Source organism: Homo sapiens, chromosome Y (assembly GCF_000001405.40).
Source record: "Homo sapiens chromosome Y, GRCh38.p14 Primary Assembly".
NCBI lineage: Eukaryota > Metazoa > Chordata > Mammalia > Primates > Hominidae > Homo > Homo sapiens.
Genome location: NC_000024.10, coordinates 6390401 through 6412154, shown reverse-complemented (window position 1 = coordinate 6412154; position 21754 = coordinate 6390401). Strand labels below are relative to the sequence as shown.

Here is a 21754-nt window from a genome sequence, read left to right as displayed (position 1 = left end):
AGAGGGAGCAGGTGAGTCAGCCTGAAGAAAAGTCAAGCACAGCCCCAGGAATAAGCCACAAAATCCGTACAGATCCAAAAGAATCTGCAGGATGCCTCAAGCCTCCCAGACTTTGTCGGGATGAGTCTTTTTAAAACTTACCATACTGTAATTTCTAGGCACAGGCTGCCTGTGTTCCCTGGGGTTGCTCTTTCAAAGGCAGGGCTTCCTGCAGAACCAAGAAGCCTAAGAAGCTGCTGGGCTGTGTGTTTTTGTGAGAGTGTTGCAAATGTTGGAAATCTGCATGTATGTGGTAGTGTGTATGTGTGATTGAGTGTGTGTGTGCCTGTTAAGTGGAGTCTGCTTAAAGGAATGTGGCTAATGCACTGCAGTGATTCTTTTTTCTTTTTTTTTTTTTGAGTCTCCAAACATTGTAGTGGCCTGTATGTGTGGGTCTACTTGGGCTGCTGGGATCCATATTCTTTATTTTTCTGAGGATCATGAATCTGCAGTGAATTGGCAAGCTGGCTGAGAAACACCACTGTCCAAATCACCTTCCTTTGCCAAAAAAGCCACTCTTCTAGAAAGAACAGAAGAACACCACAACCAAGAACAGAAATATACCAGTGTTTAATTGTCTTTCAGCCAATCCAAGGAGAGACACTATCATTCATCTCTACCGGGCCTATTAAATTTACCTCGAATTTGATTCCCAGAGGAGTTGGTGCTTCACATCATCAGGGGGAACTTCTCCATTGTCTTGGGATTTCAGTCTGGGATAGAGACTTTGAACAGCAATAAGGTAATAAGGTCAGATAGGGGTGGGGATACCCCTCTGGTGAGGGGTGGATGCCATGCTGTACCTTCACCTGCAAAAAAAGAAAAAAAAAAAAGAAGACAGATAACACAGAAGTTGCTTCCAACTGCATCCCAGCATTCTCTTAGTTGCACAAGCCGCACATACCATGGCCCTGTGTTCACGCGGGAGTACTCCAACGTGCAGGGGACATTTGGAGTACAAACTGGGGCCAAGTTGGCTAACTCCATATTTGAGGGCTTTCATACCCAGAACCAAATGGGACTGGGAGGGATTGATGCTGGTGGCATGTGGCCTCCACACTTTCATCTTTGCATTCTGACTTCCATGTTCCTCATCGACCTAAGGTTTCCTGGGTCTGGATCTAAGTTTTCCATAACAAGCATTTCCACTTCACAAGGATGATCTCATGGGGATCCATTGTGTGATTATTTCTTTCTAAGCACTGTCTCAGTTTAATGTCTGGGCAGCTGTGATAATTTTAAAACAATAAATTCACATTCCAGTGGCCAAGAAGGAAACTCTGTTTCTCCCACTTCTATCGGAGAGCTGCATGATTCCTGTAGGATGAGAAGGAGGCAGCCCTGTGTGGCTTTTTCTGGTAATCTAGGATCTGTTTTATTAGATCTGCCCATCCTTTCTCATTGTGGAGGGTTTCTTTCACTGTGCTATAGCTGGGTGGGAGTGCCTCTTGCCAAATATCTATTGGTTGCCAGGGATTACAGGGAAAAATAGAAACTTCAGGTAGGCTGGCTACACTCCAGGTTGTGGGTTGTTTTCTCATTGTGGAGGCTCAGGTGGTTTTCACTTTGTAGAAGGCTTTGGGTTCTCTGACAGGAATATTTGAACATTGCCTGGATGCCAGGGCAAGTAACCTCATTCAATCAGGGGAGTCTTGATTTTTCTTTCATTTCATGGGGGGTCCACAGTTCTCCTCAACAGTGCTAATAGACATTCTTTACAGGCTTACAATCACCACAGACAACCTTTGAGACACTGTCCCAACATCATCTGCACCTATGAAAGGCCAGTGCGATGTGTGAGAACACTGCTCCACACTGGATTTGTCTTTGTCGTGGTTCCTACCTTTCCCAGAGAGACCTTGTGAGGCCCAAAATGAAGGGAGGCAGTGAGGCCAAGGCCCTGGTAGTCTGTCACTGACATCTGCCTCTGGGGTCTCAGGTATGATTCCATCATGCAAAGACCTCTCAACAATTCCCCAGACTATATTTCAATACCCATGGGACACGATTCCTGCACACAGCCTTTTTTAAGAATGGAGTCAGAAGGGCACTTTCCAGCGACTACCTCACAGTATCAAAATGTCTCCTCCTCCAGAGGGAACGACCCAGAGATGGCCCAAAGATGCCCTAAGCTCAAAAGTTTAGAGTCCCACAGTGAATTATCACAGGCAGCATTATTTCTGACACCAGATCAGCTCTGTCTGTACCATTTTCCTCTGTTTAGGCAGGCTGACATCTCCTAGAGCCAGGCACAACAACCTGCCTCATGAAGGGATATGTGCTAGTATCAGGGCACCAGGCATGAGATGTGCACTATGGCTAGCGTCACAGTCAATGCCACCATTGACTACTGACAAGTCCCTATGGCTTGGCGGAAAAGGAGAATTTCGTGGGGGCGGGGGGTGGGTATTGGTGTTGGAATTTCGCCTGCCATCTCTGTGGGATTCACAGTATAGTCCCATGATCCCAGGAGAGGGCAGAGGTGAACCAAACTGAAAAAAAAACATCAATCAGAGCCAGGAATAAGCCCTGAAATCCCTAAGGATCCAAAAATATCTGCAGAATGCCTTAGGCCTGCCTAGACGTTGTAGGGGTGAGTCTTTTGGAAACTTGCCCTACTCTGATTTCTATGTAGAGCCTGTTTTCCCCATGGCTGCCCTCTCCCAGGTGGAGCTTCCTGCAGAACCACACAACCCAGAAGCTGCAGGGCTGAGTGTTGCTATGGGAGCATTGGGAGTGCTGGATGTCTGCTTGTGTGTGTGTGGCTTTCGGTGTTTTTTTGTTTGTGTGTGTGTGCCTGTACATGGAGTCTGCTTAAAAAAAATCTGGCTAACGCACTGTGGCACTTCATTTTTCAAGTCTCCTAACATTTTGGTGGCCTGTTGGTGTCACTGTTTTGGCTGCAGGGCTCAATGTTCTCTATTTTTCTGTAGATAATGAATCTATTGTGAATTGGGATGCTGGCAGAGGTCCAAATCACCTTTCCCTGTAAAAACAGTCTCTCTTCTACAAAGAAGAGGAGCACACCACATTCAAGAACAGACATCTTCCAGTGTGTTTTAATCCTGCAGCCAACCCAGTGATAGACAGTAGCACTGTTCACAGGGCCCCTTGAATTTACCTCAAATTTGATTCCCACCTGAGTAGGTGCTTCACCTTGTACGGAGGCACTAATCCATTGTCTTGGGGTTTCACTTTGGGTCAGAGAGTGTGAGCAGCAGTGAGGTCAGATAGGGGTGAGGATACAATCTGGTGAGGGGTGGATGGGGTCCTACACCTTCACCTGAAAAAAGGTGAAGACAAATGACAAAGAAGTTATTTCCAACTATATCCTTGTCCTTGTATTCCCTTAATATCACAAGCTGTCCACACTATGGCCCCATTTTCATGTGGGAGTACTCTAACACACAGGGAACATTTGGAGTGCAAACTGGGGCCATCCTGGCAAACTCTCAATTTGAGGGCTTTCAAACGCAGAGCCAAATGTGAGTGGGATGGATTGATACTGGGTGGGATGCAGCTTCCACAATTGCCTCATCTTTTCCTGACTTCTTTGTTCGTCATTGGCGTAGTTTCCTTGGTCTGGCTCAACGTCTTCTAAACTCAACATTCCCCAGTTCATGGAAAATGATCCTCATGGGATTCTATTGTGTGAGTATTTCCCCCTAAACACTGCCATGTTTTAATGACTGGGCAGCTGTGATACTTTTAAAACTGTAAATTCATGCAACAGCCACAAACAAGGAAACTCTTGTTCTCTCACTTCTATAGAAAAGCTGCATGATTCCTGGAGAATGTTTTATTGTCCTGAAGTCAACCCAAAAATCAACACTACCAGTCATGTTGCAGAGCTCCTTGAATTAACCTTGAATTCAGTTTCCAGCTGAGCAGCTGCTTCACGTTGTGAGGGGGCAATCCTCCATCATCCTGGGATTTCATTCTGGGACACAGAGTTTGAGCAGCAATAAGGTAAGATGCGGGTGAGGATGCAATCTGGTGAAGGGTGGATGGGGTCCCACACCTTCACCTGCAGAAATGGTAAAAACAGATGACACAGAAGGTGCTTCCAACTGCATTTAAGCATTCCCTTAATTGCAAAAGGATTCCACACCATGGCCCTGTGTTCTGGTGTGACTACTCCAAGTGGCAGGAAACAATGTTAGTGCAAACTTTGGCAATGCTGGCACATTCCCTATTGGAGGGCTTTTGTACAGGGAGCCAAGGGGGAGTGGGATGGAATGATGCTGTGTGGGATATGGTCTCCACACTTGCCTCTTCTTTTCCTCACTTTCGTGTTCTTCATTGGCCCAGAATTTCCTGGGTCTGGCTAAATGTCTTTCACAATAAACGTTTCCTGGTTCACAGAGGATGACCCTCATGGGAATGTATTTCATCAGTGCTTCCTTCTAAACACTGTCACATTTTAATGGCAGAGCTGTTGTGATACTTTTAAAACCATAAATTCCCATTACAGCCACCAACAAATAAATTCTTTTTCTTTTTTTCCTTAGACAGAGTCTCATTCTGTTGCCCAGGCTGCAGTGCAGTGGCATGATCTCCAGTCACTGCAAGCTCTGCCTTCTGGGTTCACACCATTCTCCTGCCTCAGCCTCCCGAGTATCTGGGACTACAGGAGCCTTCCACCATTCCTGGCTAATTTTTTATATTTTTAGTAGAGATGGGGTTTCACCATTTTAGCCAGGATGGTCTCAATCTCCTGACCTCATGATCCTCCCACCTCAGCCTCCTAAAGTTCTAGGATTACAGGCATGAGCCACCATGTCTGGCCCTTGGGAAACAGTTCTTCTCCCATTTCTATCAAAAGGCTGCATAATTCCAGTAGGATGAGAAGCAGACAGACGTATCTAGCTTTTTTTCTGGTAATCTATGTTCTGTTTTATTTCATCTGCAAGTCTTGTCTCATTGTGGAGGGCATATAGCATTGAATGTTGCTAGATGGGAATGTCTCTAAATACAGATTTTGCTGCCACTGATTTCAGAAAGCAAAAATGACTTTGCATAGGCTGGCTGCCTTCCAGCTTGTGGTTCGTGGTCTCATTGTGAGAGCTGAGGTTGTTTGCAGTTCTCAGGAGGCTTTTGGTTCCTCTGACAGGAACCTTTGAAAGTTTCTTATACTCCAGCTCAAGCCAGCTCCTTCTCTCAAGCAAGCCTTGATTTTTCTTTCCTTTCAGGCTGGGTCCACATTGCCCCTCAACAGCATTAGTGGACATGATTGTCAGACTTGCAATTTCCGCAGACACCTTCTGTGAACATTTTTCAACATCATCTACATGAGTGAGAGACCCGTTCGACATGTAAGAATACTGCTTGACTTTGGACCTGCCTTTGTCGTGGTTCCTGCCTTTCTCATAGATCCCCTGCCAGGCCCAGGATGATAGGAGGCAATGAAGTCAAGGGCCGAGCCCCATTCATTGAAAGCTGACTCTGGGGTCTCGGGTATAATTCCATCACATAAAATCCCCTCAACAACTCACCAGACTATATTCCAATCTCCATGGAACCTGATTCTTGCACACAGCCTCTTTCAGGAATGGAGTCAGAAGAGCAGTCTTCAGAGACCACCTCAGTTTGGAAAAGCCTCCTCCTTCAGTGGTTCCCAGCCATGGAGTCATCGTGAAGGGGCTCCATGGTCAATAATTTTACGGTACTGCACTTGGTTATCACAGACAGACTTTTTCATGATAGCATGCCATCTCTGTCTATATCATTTTCCTCTGCTTAGGCAGGCTGACAACTCTGACAGCCAGGGGCCCGAATCTACCTGGCAAATGTGCATGCTCTACTCTCAGTGCAAAAGGCCTGTTTGGGAGTTCTGACTAGTGTCACAATAAATGCCGCCATTGCCTAGTGACAAGTCCCTGTGGATTGAGGGAGGAAACCTCCATGTAGGGGCATTGGTAGTGGACTCTCACCTGTCTTCTAAGTAAAATGCATGGGACAGTCCCATGATGCTAGGAGAGGGCAGACAGAAGCCAGCCTCAAGAAACCTCAAGGGCAGCCTCAGGAATAAACTGAAGCATTCCTAATGATTTAAAATATGTGTAGAATTTCTAATGCCTGCCTAGATGTTGCAGGGGTGAGTCATTGTGAAACTTGCCCCACTGTGATTTCTAGGTAAAGCCCACCTGTGTTCCTGGGGTGGCTGTCTCCCAGGTGGGGCTTCCTGCAGGACCACAAAGCCTGAGAAGCTGCCAGACTTTGTGTTTCTGTGAGAGTGTTGTGAGTGTTGGATGTTTGCGTGTATGTATGGCTGTGTCTATGTGTGTGTGTGTGTGTGTGTGTGGTGTCTGTAAGGGGAGTCTGCTTAAAGTAATGTTGCTAAAGCACTGCAGCCCCCTTTTTTTTAAGTCTTCCAACTTTTTAGTGGATTGTCTCAGGCTGCGGGGCTTTGTATTCTTTCTTTTTCTATGGATTATGAATCTGCAATGAAGTCTAAGGCAGGATGAGACCCGCCAGGTAACAAAACACCTCCTTCTCCCAAAAAAAACCACTTTCCTAGAAAGAAGAAGGCCATACCACCCTCAAGAACAGACATCTCCCAGTGTTTTATTGTCCTTCAGCCAACCCAGGGAGAGACAGCAGCAGTCCTGTCTGCAGGGCTTTTTAAATGTACCTCGAATTTAGTTCCCAGCCAAGCTGGTGCTTCACATCGTGAAGGAGAACCCCTCCATCATCTTGGAATTTCATTCTGGAACAGAGAATATCAGTAGCAATAAGGTCACAGAGAGATGAAGATACAATGTGGTGAGGGGTGGATGAGGACCTGCACCTTAACATGCAAAAAAGGTGAAGACAGAAGACAGAAAGTGCTTCACACTGCATCCCTGCATTCCCTTAATGACACAGTAGTCCACACCATGGCCCGGTGTTCAGGTGGGAGTACTACAAGGTGCAGGGAACATTTGGAGTGCAAACTGAAGCCATCCTGCAAACTGCCAATTTAAGGGCTTTCATACTAAAGCCAAATGGGAGTACCATGAATTTATCCTGGCTGGGATGTGGCGTCTACACTTGCCTCTTTTTTTCCTGACTTCCATGCTCCTCATCAGCCTAGGGTTTCCTGGGTCTGGCTCAACGTCTTCGACACTAAACATTTCCCCATACAGTGATTATGACCCTTATGAGAATCCATTGTGTGCGTATTTCATATTAACAATGTCACATTTTAATTACTTGGCAGCTGTGATACTTTTAAAACCATGATTTCCTGTTACAGCTGCCATTAAGGAAACTCTTGTTCTACCACTTCTATCAGGGGCTGCAAGATCTCTGGGGTGAGAAGCAGGCAGTCATATCTCACTTTTGGCTGACATTCTAGGCACTGTTCCATTTCATCTGCATGTCGTTTCTCATTGTGGAAGGGATCTTTCACTGGACTGTTGCTGGATGGTACTACCTCTCATCACAGATCTTTTGGCTGCCAGGGATTTCAGGGAGCAAAAGACACTTTGGGTAGGCTCACCAAAATCCAGGTTGTGAGCCATGGTGTCAACGTGGGGGCTGAGGTTGTTTGCACTTTACAGGAGGCTTTTCGGTCCTCTGACAGGAATCTTTGAACATTGCTTGGACTGCAGCACAAGGCAGATTGTTCTTTCAGGTGAGCATTGATTTTTCTTTGCTTTCATAAGGTATGCATAGTGCCCATCAACAGCAGTACTTGACACTTTTCAGGTTTGCCATGGCCACAGACAGCCTTGGAGACACTGTCTCAACCTCATCTGCACCTGTGAGAAGACAGTCCACGATGTGAGAACACTGCTCCTTCTTGGACTTGCCTTTTTGAGGTTGCTGCCTTTCCCAGAGAGCTCCTGCGAGGTCCAAAATAAAGGGAGGCAGTGAGGCCAAGAGACCGGCCATCTTTCTCTGACACCCACCTTTGGGGTCTCAGGTATGATTGTATCACCCAAAGAATCCTCAACAACTCACCAGACTATACTCCAATCCCCATGAAACCCGATACTTGCACATAGACTTTTTCAGAAATGGAGTCTGAAGAGCAGTTTCCAGAGACCATGTCACCATCTTGAAATGCCTTCTTCTCCAGCGGGAACCAATCATGGAGATGAACTGAAGGGGCCCTGACTTTGCAAATTTTACAGTCCAGCCGTTGGTTTTCGCAGGCAGACTTTGTCCTGATACCAGGCCATCTCTGCTTGTACTATTTTCCTCTGCTTAGGCAAGCTGACAGCTCCAACAGTCAGGCGCCTGAGCCACCCTCATGAATGCACATGTGCTAGTCTCAAGGTATCAGGGCTGATTGTGAGCTTCGGCAAAAGTTACAAAAAAGGTCACCATTGCCTAGTGACAAGTCCCTGCCTCTTGCTGGAGACGGAGACCTCTGTGGAGGTGTGTCAGTGGTACACTCTCACCTATCTTCTCTGTGAAATCCACAAATAGTCTCATGATCATGGCAGAAGGCCTGGAGCTTGGTAGAAAAGGAGAATTCCCTGGAGGTGCACCGGCATTGGAACCACACCTGTCTTCTCTGTGGGATTCACAGGATAGTCCTAGAAAAGGGCAGATGAGAGCCAGACTGAGGAAAGGTCAAGAAGAGCCCCAGGAATAAATGGCAAACTGCCTAGGGATCCAAAAGGATTTGGAAGGATTCCTCAGGCCTGCCTAGAGGTTGTAGGGGTGAGTCTTTTAGAAACCTGTCCCAATGTGATTTCTAGGTACAACATGCATGTGTTACCCGGGGTTGCTCTCTCCCAGGTGGGGATTTCTGATGAGCCACACAGCCTCAGTAGCTGCCAGGCAGTGAGTTTCCGTGGGAATGTTGCAAGTGTTGGTTGTCTTTGTGGGTAGGTGTGGCATTGTGTATTTGTGTGTGTGTTTGCGTGCCTGTAAGTGGAGTCTGCTTAAAGGAATGTGGCTAATGCACTGCAGCATTTCTTTTATTTTTGAGTCTCTTATCCTTATAGTGGCCTGTCTGTGTGGCTCGGCTTGGGTTGCCGGGATTCATGTTCTTTATTTGTCTGTGGATCATGAATCTGCAGTGAATTGGGAGGTGGGCCGAGACACACAAGCATCCAAATCACCTCCCCTGCAACAAAAGCCACTCTTCTAGAAAGAAGATGAGCATACCACACCAAAAAAAAGAGATCTCCCAGTGTTTTATTGACCTGAGTCCAAACCAGAAAGTGACACTCACAGACCTGTGTGCATGGCCCCTTGAATTTACATCAAATTCAGTCTCCAGCTGAGCAGATGCTTCATGTCATGAGGAAGATCTTGTCCATCATCTTGGATTTCATTCGGGGACATAGATTGTGAGCAGAAATAAGGTCAGATGGGGTGAGGATACAATCTGGTGAGGGGTGAAAGTGGTCTCCCAACTTCACCAGCAAAACATAAAGACAGATAACACAGAAAGTGCTTCCAACTTCATCTCTGCATCCCCTTAATTGCACAAGCAGTCCACACCATGGCTCGGTGTTCTGGTGGGAGTACTTTAATCTGCAAGGAATATTTGGAGGGCAAATTGGGGCCATTTTTGCAAACTCCCAATTTAAGAGCCTTCATACATGAGCCAAATGGGAGGAGTATTGATTGATGCTGGGTTGGATGTGGCCTCCGTACTTGCCTTTTTCCCCCTGACTTCTATGTTTTTCATCAACCTAGGGTTTCCTCTTTCTGGCTCAATGACTTCCACACTAAATGTTTCCCAATTCATAGAGAACAACCCTCCTGGGAATCCATTGCATGAGTGTTTCCTTCTAAACATTGTCACCTTTTAAAGACTGGGAAGCTTTGATAGTTTTAAAACGGTAAATTCTTGTTACACCCACCAACAAGGAATCTGTTTTTTTTCCCACTTCTATCACAGGGTTGCATGTTTACTCTAGGATGAGAAGGAGGCAGCCACGTCTGGCTTTAGCCTGATAATCTAGCCCCTGTTTCATCTCATCTGCATGGACTTCTCATTGTGGAGGGGCCCTTTCACTGGGCTATTGCTGGCTAGGACTGCCACTTGCCACAGATTATTTTGCTGCCAGGGATTTCAGAGAGTAAAAGGGACTTTGATAAACTGGCTGCACTCCATATTGTGGATCATTGTCTCATCGTAGAGGCTGCAGTTGTTTGCACTTTGCAGGAGGCTTTTGGTTTCTGACAGGAATCTTGAACATTGCCTGGACTCCAGCAAAGGCAGCTCATTCTTAGGTGAACCTTGGTTTTTCTTTGTTTTCTTGGGGAATCCATAGTGCCCCCCAACAGCAGCACTGCACACCATTTTCAAGCTTGCCATCACCACAGATGGCCTCTGAGACACTGTCTCAACTACATCTGCACAAGTGAGAGGCCATTCCAAGATGTGAGAACACTGCTCCACATTAGACTTGCCTTTGTCATGGTTCTTGCCTTTCATAGATAGCCCCTGCAAGGCTCAGAATGAAGGGAGCCATTGAGTTCAAAAGCCCAATCATCTTTTGCTGACATCCACTTCTGGTGTCTCAGGTATGTTTCTGTCACCCAAAGAACACTCAACGACACACCAGATTATATTCCAATCCCCTTGGGACCCAATTATTGCACACACCCTCTTTCGCTAATGGAGTTAGAAGAGCAGTTTCCAGCGACCACCTCACAGTCGCGAAACACCTCTTCCTCCAGCGCGACCTGAACAAGGAAATGGCTAGCAGGGTCCCTGAGGTCAAGACTTTCAGGGTCCTGCAGCGGGTTTTTATAGTCAGCCTTTTTCCCAATACCAAGCCAGCTCTGCCTGTACCATTATCCACTGCAGAGGCAGGCTGACAGCTCTGACAACCTGACTTGAGTCTGCCTCACAAATGCACTTGCGCTAGTCTCAGCGCACCTGGTCTGATTGTGAGCTCTGTCTAGCATCACAATAAATGTCACCATTGCCTTGCAAGAAGCATCTGCATCTTGGTGGAAAAGGAGACCTCCGTGGAGAAGTGTCAGCGGTGTCTTCTCGTCTGTCTTCTCTGTGAAATCCACAGATAGTCTCATGATCCTAGGAGAGGGCAGACGTTAGCCAGCGTGAAGGAACATCAAGCTTAGCTACAGAAATAAACCGCAAAATCCTTAAACATCCAAAAAGATCTGCAAGATTTTGTAGGCCTGCCTAGATATTGTAGGGGTGAGTCTTTTTGAAACTTGCCCCACTGTGGTTTCTAGGTACAGCCTGTCTATGTTCCCTGGGATTGCTCTCTCCCAGGTGGGAATTCCTGCAGAGCTATGCAGCCTCGGGTGCTGCTGGGCTATGTTCTTCTGTGGGAGTGTTGCAACTGTTGGATATGTGTGTGTGTGTGTCATTGCGTGTTTGAGAATGTGTTTGTGGCTGTAAGTGGAGTCTGCTTAAATAATATGGCTAACGCACTTCAGTGCTGCTGCTTTTTTTTTTTTTTTTGTATGTTTCAATCTTTGTTGGCCTGCCTGTTGCTCTGCTTGTGCTTTGGGGCTCCATGTTCTTTATTTTTCTGTGGATCATGAATCTGCATTGCATTGGGAGGTGGGCCAAGACACACAATTGTCCAAATCAACTCCCCCCACAAAAAAAGCCACTCTTCTAGAAAGAAGAGGAGCACACCACACCAGAAACAGACATCTCGCAGTGTTTCACTGTCTCAACCTTATCTGCACAGTCCAAGGCCAGTCTGAGGTGTAAGAATAACCTCAACTGCACAGTGAAAGACCAGTCCAAGGTATGAGAACACTCCTCTACATTGGATTTGCCACTGTTGTGGTTTCTACCTTCCCCAGAGAGCTTCTGAGAGACCCAGGATGAAGGGATGCAGTGAGGTCAAGAGCCCAACCTTCTTTCACTGACACCCACCTCTAAGTTCTCAGGTATGATTCTGTCACCCAAACAACCCTCAACAACACAACAGATTATATTCCAATTCTTATGGGACCAGATTATGGCTCACAGCCTGTTTCAAAAATGGAGTCAGAAGGGCAGTTTCCAGCGAACAGGTTACTATCTCAAAATATTTCCTCCGGCAGTGGGACCTGACCATGGAGACAGCCCAAAGGGGCCTTCAGGTCGAGACATTTAGGGTCCCACAGTGGGTTTTCACACACTGCCTTTTTATTAAAAACAGGCCTACTCTGCCTGTACCATTTTTCTCTGCTTAGGATGCCACCTTGCTTACACACAGGCAAAAACCTCTGCAGGATTTTTCAGGCCACCCTAGATGTTGTAAGCATGAGTCTTTTGAAACTTGCCTAACTGTGATTTCTAGGTGTAGCCAACCAGGGTTTCTTGTGCTTGCTCTCTCCCAGGTTGGGATTCCTGCAGAATCACATAGCCTCTGGAGCTGCTGAGCTGTGTTTTCCTGTGGGAGTGTTGCGAGTGTTGGATGTCTGCATCTGTGTGTGGCATTGGGTGTGTGTGTGCACCTGTCAGTGGAGTGTGCTTGAAATTATGTGGCTAACCCACTTCAGCCCTTTGTCTTTCTCTTTTTTTTTTTTTTTTTTTAGTCTCCCAACCTTTCTGGTGGAGGATTTCGAGTGTTGGATGTCTGCATCTTTGTGTGGCATTGTGTGTGTGTGTGTGACTATAAATGGAGTCTGCTTAAAGGAATATTACTTATGCACTTCAGTGCTTTCTGTTTTTGAGTCTTCCAACATTTTGGTGGCCTGTGTTTCTCTGCTTGGGATGTGGGACTTTCTCCAGGTAGTGCTTCCTGCACAACAATGCAGCCTCAGTAGCTGCTGGGCTGTGTATTTCTGTGGGAGTATTTTGAGTGTAGGATGTCTGAGCGTGTGTGTGGCATTGTGTGTTCAAAAAAAGCCACTCTTCTAAAAAGAAGAGGAGCACACCATGCCAAAAAGAGGTATCTCCTAGTGTGTCATTGTCATGAGGCCAACCCAGGCATAGACACTGGCAGTCCTGTCCACTGGGCACTTTGAATTAATCTTGAATTCAGTTCCCAGCTGAGCAAGTGATTCACATCTTGTGGCGGGGGGCACTTCTCCATCATCTTTTGATTTCATCCTGGAACATACAGTATGAGCAGGAATAAAGTCAAATAGCAGTAAGGACAAAATCTGGTGAAGGGTGTATAAGGTTTTGCAATATCACCTGAAAAAAATAAAATAAAGATGGATGACACAGAAGCTGCTTCCAAGTAAATAGCCTGGTGTTCAGGTGGACATGCAGAGAACATTTTGAGAACAAATTGGGGCCATCCTGGCAAACTCTCAATGTGAGGGCTTTCATACCCAGAGCCACATGAAAGTGTGATGGATTGATGCTGGGTGGGATGTGGCCACCACACTTGTGTCTTCATGTTCCTTTTTGGCCTAGGGTTTTCTGGGTCTGGTTCCACATCTTCTACACTAGAAGTTTCCCAGTTCACAGAGGACCACTCTCATGTGAATCCATTGCATCAGTGTTTCTTCCTAGACTCTGTCACATTTTGATGACTGGGCAATATGAGACTTTTAAAAGCATAAATTCCCGTTACAACTGCCAATACAGAAATTTTTATTCTCCTTTTATCAAAGAGCTGCATGATTCCTGTAGGAGGAGAAGCAGGCAGCTGTGTTCTGCATTTTCCTGCTAATCTTGGCTCTGTTTCACTTCATCTGCATGTCATTCCCTGCTGTGGAGTGGATCTTTCATTGGCTCTTGCTGGATGGGACTGCCTCTTGCTATAGATCTTTTCACTGCCAGGAATTTCAGGAAGCCAAAAGGACTTTGCATATGGTGGCTACATGCCAGGATGTGGATCATGGTGTCCTTGTGGGGGCTGATGTTGTTTGCGCTTTGCAGGAGGCTTTTGGGTCCTCTGATGGGAATCTTTGAACTTTGCTTGTACTCCCACACAAGTCAGCTTGTTTGCTCAGATAAGCCTTCATTTTTCTTTGCTTTCAAGGGGAGTCCACATTGCCCCTCATTAGCAGTACTGGACACCATTTTCTGTCTTGCAATTGCCATGGACCACCTCAGACATACTCTGTCAACCACATCTGCATCTGTGAAAGGCCAGTTTGAGATATGAGAACAATGCTTTATCTGGGACTTGCTTTTGTTGTGGTTCCTGTATTTCCCAGAGAGCTCCTGTGAGGCCCAGGATGAAGGGAGGCAGTGAGGTCAAGGGCCTAACCATCTTTCACTGACACCCACCTCTTGGGTCTCAATGATGATTCCATCACCCAGAGATGCCTCAAAAACTCACCAGATGGTATTTCAATCCCCATGGGAATTAACTCTTGCACACATCTTCTTTTGGGAATGGAGGCAGAGGTGCAGATTGCAGCGACCCTTTCACAGTCTCAAAGTGACTTCTCCTTCTGCAGAACCCAACCTTGGAGACTGCCTGAAAGGGCCCTGTCATCTATATTTTTATGTCCAGTGGTGGGTTATTGCAGGCAGCATTTTTCCCTATACCAGGCAGGCTCTGCCTGTACCATTTTCCTCTGCTTAGGCAGGCTGACAGCTCTGATGAGTGCCTGAGCCTGCCTCAGAAATGCACATGTGCTAGTCTCAGAGCACCAGGCCTGAGTGTGAGTGCTGGCTAGCATCACAATGAATGTCACTGCTGCCTTGTGACAATGCCCTGTGGCTTGGCAGAGGAGACCTCCTTGGAGATGCATCGGCCGTGGACTCTCACCTGACTTCTCTGTGGTGTTCATGGGATTGTCCCATGATCCTAGAAAAGGGCAGGCATGAGCCAGCCTGAAGAAAAGTCAAGTACACCTCCAGGAATAAACTGCAGAATCCCTTAGGATGCAAAAGGATATACAGGATTTCTCAGGACTACCCAGAAGTTTGTAGGGTTGAGTCTCTTTCAAACTTGCACCACCGTGATTTCTAGGTACAGTTCCCTTGTGTTTCTTGGGGTTGCTGTCTCCCAGGTTGGGATTCCTTCCGAACAACACTGCCTCAGGGGCTGCCAGTCTTTGCTTTTCTATGAGAGTCTTGCATGTGATGGATGGCTGTGTGTGTGTGTGTAGCATTGTGTGTTTGTGTATGTGCGTGTTTATGTGTCTGTAAGTGGAGTGTGCTTAAAATAATGTGCCTAACACACTTCAGCACTTCTTCTTTAGTCTGCCAACCTTTCTGGTGGAGTGCTGTGAGTGTTGGATGTCTACATGCATGTGGGTGGCATTGTGTGTTTGTATGTGTGTGTGTGTGAGAGACTGTAAGTGCAGTCTGCCTAAGGAATATTGCTAATGCACTTCAGTGTTTGCTGTATGTACATCTCCCAACCTTTTGGTGGCTTTTCTGTGTGGGTCTGCTTGGGCTACCTGCAGACCCAGTTGGTGCTACCTGCACAACAGCACAGTCTGAGTAGTAACTGGTTTGTATGTTTCTGTGGGAGTGTTGTGAATGTTGGATGTCTGAGTGTGTGTGTGGCATTGTGTGTGTGAGAAAAGCCACTCTTCTAGAAAGAAAAGGAGCACACCACACCAAAAATGAGACATCTCAGTGTTTCATTGTCTTGCAGCCAACCCAGGGAGAGATGCTAGCAGTCCTGTGCACAGGGCACATTGAATTCACCTTGAATTCGATTCCCAGCCAAGCCAATAATTCATGTCTTAGGTCGGGGGGCTCTCAAATATCATCTTTGGATTTCATCCTGGTGCATAGAGTGTCAACAGCAATGATGTCAGATAGGAGTAAAGATGAAATCTGGGGAGGTGCATGGGATACCCCAACTGCACCTGTAAAAAAAAAAAAAAAAGAAAAAGGATGACAGACGACACAGAGATTGTTTCCAGCTAAACAGCCTGGTGTTCAGGTGGAAGTACTCCAATGTATGGGGAAAATTTTGAGTACACACTGGGGCCATCCTGGCAAACTCCCAATGTGAGGGCTTTCATACCCAAAGGCAAAGGAGAGGGTGATGGATTGATGCTGGATGGAATGTGGCTGCCACACTTGCCTCTTCTTTTCCTGACTTTCATGATCTTCTTTGGCCTAAGTTTTCCTGGGTATGGCTACACGTATTCCACACTAAAAGTTTCCCAGTTCACAGAGGATGACTCTCTTGGGAATTCATTACATGAGGGATTCTTTCTAAACTCTGCCACATTTTAATGACTGGGCAGCTGTGATACTTTTAAAAGCATAAATTCCCATTACATCCACCAACATAGAAACTCTTGTTTTCCCACTTTTATTGGAAGACTGCATGATTCCTTTAGGATGAGAAGCAGGCAGCCATGTCTGCATTTGCCTGGTAATCTTAGCTCTGTTTCACTTCATCTGCAAGTCCTTTCTCTCTGTGGAGTGGATATTTCATTGGCTTTTGCTGGATGGGACTGCCTCCTCCCTACAGATCTTTTGGCTGCCAGGAACTTCAGGAAGCCTATAGGACTTTGCGTATGCTGGCTATACTCCAGATTTTGGGTCTTTTTCTCCTTGTGGAGGCTGATGTTGTTTGCTCTTTGTAGGAGGCTTTTGGGTCCTCTGACAAAAATCTTTGAACATTATTTGGACTCCTGCACAAGTCAGCTTATTTGCTCAGATGAGCCTTCATTTTTCTTTGCTTTCATGAGGGTTCCACATTGCCCCTCATCAGCACTACTGGACACCCTTTTCTGGCTTGCTTTCACCACAGACAGCCACTGAGAAACTGTTTCCACCTCACCTGCACCCATTTTAAGGTGTGAGAACAGCCAGTTTAAGGTGTGAGAACAATGCTTTATCTTGGACTTTCTTTTGTCGTGGTTCTTACCTTTTCCCGAGAGCCCCTGTGAGGCCCGGTAACTCACCAGACTGTATTACAATCCCCATAGGAACTGCCTCTTGCACACAGCCTCTTTCCAGAATGGAGGCAGAGTATCTGATTGCAGCGACCACTTCACAGTCTCAAAATGAGTTCTCCTTCAGTGGAACTCGACCTCAGAGACTGCCCAAAAGGGCCCTATGGCCTAGACTTTTTGGGTCCAGCAGTGGTTTATCACAGTGCCTTTTCTTTGTTCCTCTTTTTGGTCAGGCTAACAGCTCTGACAGCCAGGCCCCAGAACATGCCTCTTGAATGCGAAGGCACTGGTCTCAAGGCACAAAGACTGAGCTGTGAGTTTTGATTAGCGTCACAGTGAATGCCACCATTTCCTAGAGACAAGTTCCTGCAGGTTGGCGGAGAAGAAGACCTTTTTACAGGTGCTGTCGGTGGTGGACTCTCACCTGTTTTCTCTGTGGGAATTACTGTATAGTCTCCTGATTTTAGGAGAGGGCAAATATGAGCCAGCCTGAAATAATGTCAATAAGAGCACCAGGAATAAACCATGAATTCCAGAAGGATCCAAAAGGGTCTGCAAGATGCTTCAGGCCTGCCTAGGCACTGTATCCTCACCCCTGTGAGTGAGTGAGGGGTGAGTGCTTTTGACACTTGCCCCACTGTGATGTATAGGTACAGCCCTCCTGTGTTCCTTGGTGTTGCTCCCTCCTAGGTGTGGCTTCCTGCAGAACCAAACTGCCTCAGGAGCTGATAGGCTGTGTGTTTCTGTGGGAGTGCTGCAAGTGTTGGATGTCTGCCTGTGTGTTTGACTTTGTACATTTGTGTGTGTGTGTGTGTGTGTGCCTGTAAATGGAGTCTGCTTAAAGGAATGTGGCTAACACACTGCAGCACTTCATTTTGTTGAGTCTCCAACCTTTTGTTGTCTTCCTGTACGCCTCTGTTTGGGACATAGAACTCCATGTTCTTTATTTTTTTGTGAATCATGAATCTGCAGTGAGTTGGGAGGCTGGCCGAGACATGCTGCTGTCCAAGTCACCATGCCCTGCAAAAAAAGCAACTCTTCTAGGTAGAAGAGAGTCAAACCACACCCAAGAGCAGACATCTCCCAGGTTTTCATTGTCATGTGGCCAACCCAGGGAGAGACAATAGCAATCCTGTCTACAACAACCCTTGAATTTACCTCAGGTTATATTCACAGGTGAACACGTGCTTCACATCATGAGGGTTACTCCTCCTTTGTCCTGGGTTTTCATCCTTGGACAGATAGTTTGAGCAGCAGTAAGGTCAGACAGGGTGGGGATACAATCTTGTGAGGGGTGGATGGGGTCTCACAACTTCACCTGCAAATAAGGTGAAGACAAATGACACAGAAGATGCTTCCAACTGAATCCCTACATTCCACTATTTGCACAAGTAGTCCACACCATGGCCCATTGTTGAGGTGGGAGTACTCCAACATGCAGAGAACATTTGGAGTGCAAACTGGGGACATCCTGGCAAACTCCAGATTTGAGCGCTTTCATAGGCAAAGCCAAATGGGAGTGGGATGGACTAGTTCTGGGTGAAATATGGCCTCCACACTTGCCTGTTTTTTTCATGTCTTCCATGTTCCTCTATGGCCTATGGCATGCTGCATGTGGCTCAAAATCTTCAACACTAAACCTTTCCCACTTCATGGAGGTCGAACTAATTGGAATCCATTGCATGAGTGTTTCCTTCTAATCACTGTCACATTTTAATGAATGGGCAGCTGTATTTATTTTTAAAGCATCAATTCCCATTACAGCTGCCAACAAGGAAACTTTCGTTCTCCCACTTTTATTGGAAGGCTGCTTGACTCCCGTAGGATGAGAAGCAGGGAGCCGTGTTTGGATTCACCTAGTAACCAAGGCTGTGTTTCACTTCATCTGCACTTCCTTTCTCATTGTAAACAGACTCTTTCATTGAGCTTTTGCTGTATGGGACTGCCACTCACAATGGTTCTTTTGGCAAGCAGAATTTCAGGGAGCAAAAAGACTTTGGTCGGCTGGTGGTGTTCCAGGTTTTGTGTCATGGGCTTGTTGTAAAATCTGAGGTTGTTTGCACTTTGTGGGAGGCTTTTGGTTCCTCTGGCAGAAATCTTTGAACATTTCTGGAAATCCAGGACAAGTCCACTCATTCTCACAGGTGAGCCTTGATTTTTCTTTGCTTTCATGCTGGGCCCACATTGCCCCTCAGCAGAAATACTGGCCACCATTTTCAGGCTTGCAATTGCCAAAAACGGCCTCTGAGACAATTTCACAGTATCAACTGCACCCATGACACTCCAGTTCGGTGTAAGAACTTCTTGATATTGGACCTACCTTTTTCATGTTTCCTGCCTTTTGCAGAGAGCCCCTGTGAGGACCATGATGAAGGGAAGCAATGAGATCAAGGGACTGGCTATATTTTACTGACACTCATTTTTGGTGTCTCAGGTATAATTCCATTACACAAAAATCCTTTAACAACTCACCAGACTATATTCCAATTTAGATGGGTCCTGATTCTTGCACAAAGGCTCTTTCAGGAATGGAGTCAGAAGAGCTCTCCTAAGCAACCACCTCACAGTCTTGAAACGCGTCCTCCTCCAGTGGTACCCAAAGATGCAGACATCCCAAAGGGGTTCTAAGGTAGAGAATTTTAATGCTAGTCTCAGGACACTAGGGCTTAGATCTGAGCTCTGGTTAGAGTCACAATGAATGTCACATTTGCCCAGCGACAAGTCCCTGTGACTTGGCTGAGGAGGATACCTTTGTGGAGGTGCATCAGCAGTGGACTCTCACTTTTATTCCCTGTGGAAGCCTCGGGATAGTCCCACGATCCTAGGAGAGGGCAGACATGAACCAGCCTAAAGAAACATCAGGCATAGCCCCAGGAATAAACCACAAAATTGCTAAGGATCCAAAAGGAACTGCAGGATTTTTTAGGACTGGCTAGATGCTGTATTGGTTAGTCTTTCTGAAACTTGCCCCACCGTGCTTCCCAGGTAAAGCCTGCCAGTATGCCCTGGGGTTGCTCTCTGCCAGGGTAAGTTTCTTGCACAACCACGAAGCCTCAGGAGCTGCCAGCCTGTGTGTTTCTGTTGGAGTGTTGTGAGTGTTGGAGGCCTGCATGTGTGTGGCATTTTGTGTGTGTGTGTGTTTGTGTGTGTGTGTCTGTAAGTGGAGAGTGCTTAAATGAATGTGGCTAACACAATTCAGGGCTAGTTTTTTGAGTCTCCAACCCTTTTGGCTCTGCTTGAGCCACATCATAAGTCTCAGTGAATTGAGAGGCAGGCCATAACCCACCCATGTCCAAATAATCTCCCCCTACAAAGCACAAAGCCATTCTTCTAGAAACAAGAGGAGCACACCACACAAAAACATAGATATCTTTAGTGTTTCATTGTTATGTGGCCAACCCAGACAGAGACAGTAGCAGTCTTGTTTTCAGGGCCCCTTCAATTTACCTGAAATTCAGTCCCCAGCTTAGCAAGTGCTTCACGTCCTGAGGGGGCACTCCTCCATCATTTTGGGATTTTATTTTGGGACACAGAGTATAAGCAGCCATAACATCGGATAGGGGTGAGAATTCAATCAGGTGAAGGTTGTCACCTGAAGACAGGTGACTCAGAAGGTACTTCCAACACCATCCCCACATTCCCTTAGTTGAAGAAGCAGTCCACACCATGGCTCAGTGTTCAGGTGAGTGTACAAGCTGGGGCCATCCTGGCAAACTTCCGATTTGAGGGCTTTCATACCCGGAACAAAATGGAAGTGGAATAAATTCATGCTAGGTGGAATGTGGCCTCCACACTTGCCTCATCTTTTCCTGACTTCCATGTTCCTCACTGGCCTACAGTTTCCTGGGTCTGGTTCAATGACTTCCAACACAGAACATTTCCCAGTTCACAAAGAACAACCCTCACGGTGATCCACTGTGTGAGTGTTTCCTTCTAAACACCATCACGTTTTAATGACTGAGCTGCTTTGATACTTTTAAAACAGTAAATTCCTGTTACAGCCACCAAAAAGCAAACTCTTCCTCTCCCACTCCTATCAAAGGGCTGCATGACTTCTGCAGGGTGAGAAGCAGGCATTCATGTCTGGCTTTTGTCTGGTAGTCTATCTTCTGTTTCATTTCATCTGCCTGGTTTCCTTATTGTGGAGGGGCTCTTTCATTCAGCTGTTTTTCAGTAGGACTGCCTCTCTACACAGATAATTTAGTTACCAGGATTTCAGAGAGGAAAAGGGACTTCAGGTAGGCTGGCTGCACTCCAGGTTCTGGGTCATTGTCTCATTTGGGGGGCTGAAGTTCCTTCCACTTTACAGGAGGCATTTGGATCCTCTGACAGGAATCATTGAACATTGCTTGGACTCCAGCACAAGGCAGCTCATTCTAGAGAGATGAGGTTTTATTTTTCTTTGCTTTCATGGGGAATCTACAGTACCCCTAAACAGCAGTACTGACACAACTTTTTATCCTTGCCATGCCATAAATGGCCTTTGACACACTGTCTCAACCTCATCTGCACCCATGAGTGGTCAGTCCAAGGTGTGAGAACAGTGCTCCACCTTGGACTTGCCTTTGTCTTAGGTCCAGACTTTCCCAGAGAGCCCCTGTGAGGCCCAAAATGAAGGGAGGAAGTGAGGTCAAGGGCCCAACTATCTTTCACTGACCCCAGCTTCTGGGGTCTCAGGTATGATTCTATCATCCAAATAACCCTCAACAACACAGCAAACTATATTTGCATCCCCATCATACCCGATTCTTGCACATAGCCTCTTTTGAGACTGGAGTCAGATGAGCAGTTTCCAGCGATCAGCTCACATTCTTGAAACGCCTCCTTCTCCAGCATGACATGGCCATGGAGATGCCATGAAGGGGCCCTGAGGTCCCCACTTATGGTCCCACAGTGGGATTTCACAGGCAGCCTTTTTTCTCGCTACCAGGCTGCACTGCCTGTACCATTTTACTCTGCTTAAGCAGGCTGACAGCTCTGACAGACAGGAAACATAGGCTGCCACAGGAATGGGCAT

General features: G+C 46.5%; 2 long non-coding RNA genes across 2 annotated transcripts in view; one reads left to right on the top strand and one right to left on the bottom strand.

Annotated features, from left to right (window-relative positions):
- The window catches only part of TTTY2B (testis expressed transcript, Y-linked 2B), a 22201-nt gene extending 16290 nt beyond the window's left edge, over window positions 1-5911 (top strand). Inside the window, exons 5-8 of the long non-coding RNA NR_003590.1 lie at window positions 625-781; window positions 3612-3690; window positions 3811-4008; window positions 5232-5911. This is a non-coding gene — a long non-coding RNA (testis expressed transcript, Y-linked 2B). The remainder of the gene's footprint in view (window positions 1-624; window positions 782-3611; window positions 3691-3810; window positions 4009-5231) is intronic.
- Window positions 591-21754, bottom strand: TTTY1B (testis expressed transcript, Y-linked 1B). The gene is made up of 5 exons (NR_003589.1): window positions 21480-21754; window positions 17896-18055; window positions 10924-11032; window positions 8430-8567; window positions 591-848 (listed from the first exon to the last, which is right to left on the bottom strand). It is a non-coding gene; the product is annotated as a testis expressed transcript, Y-linked 1B (long non-coding RNA).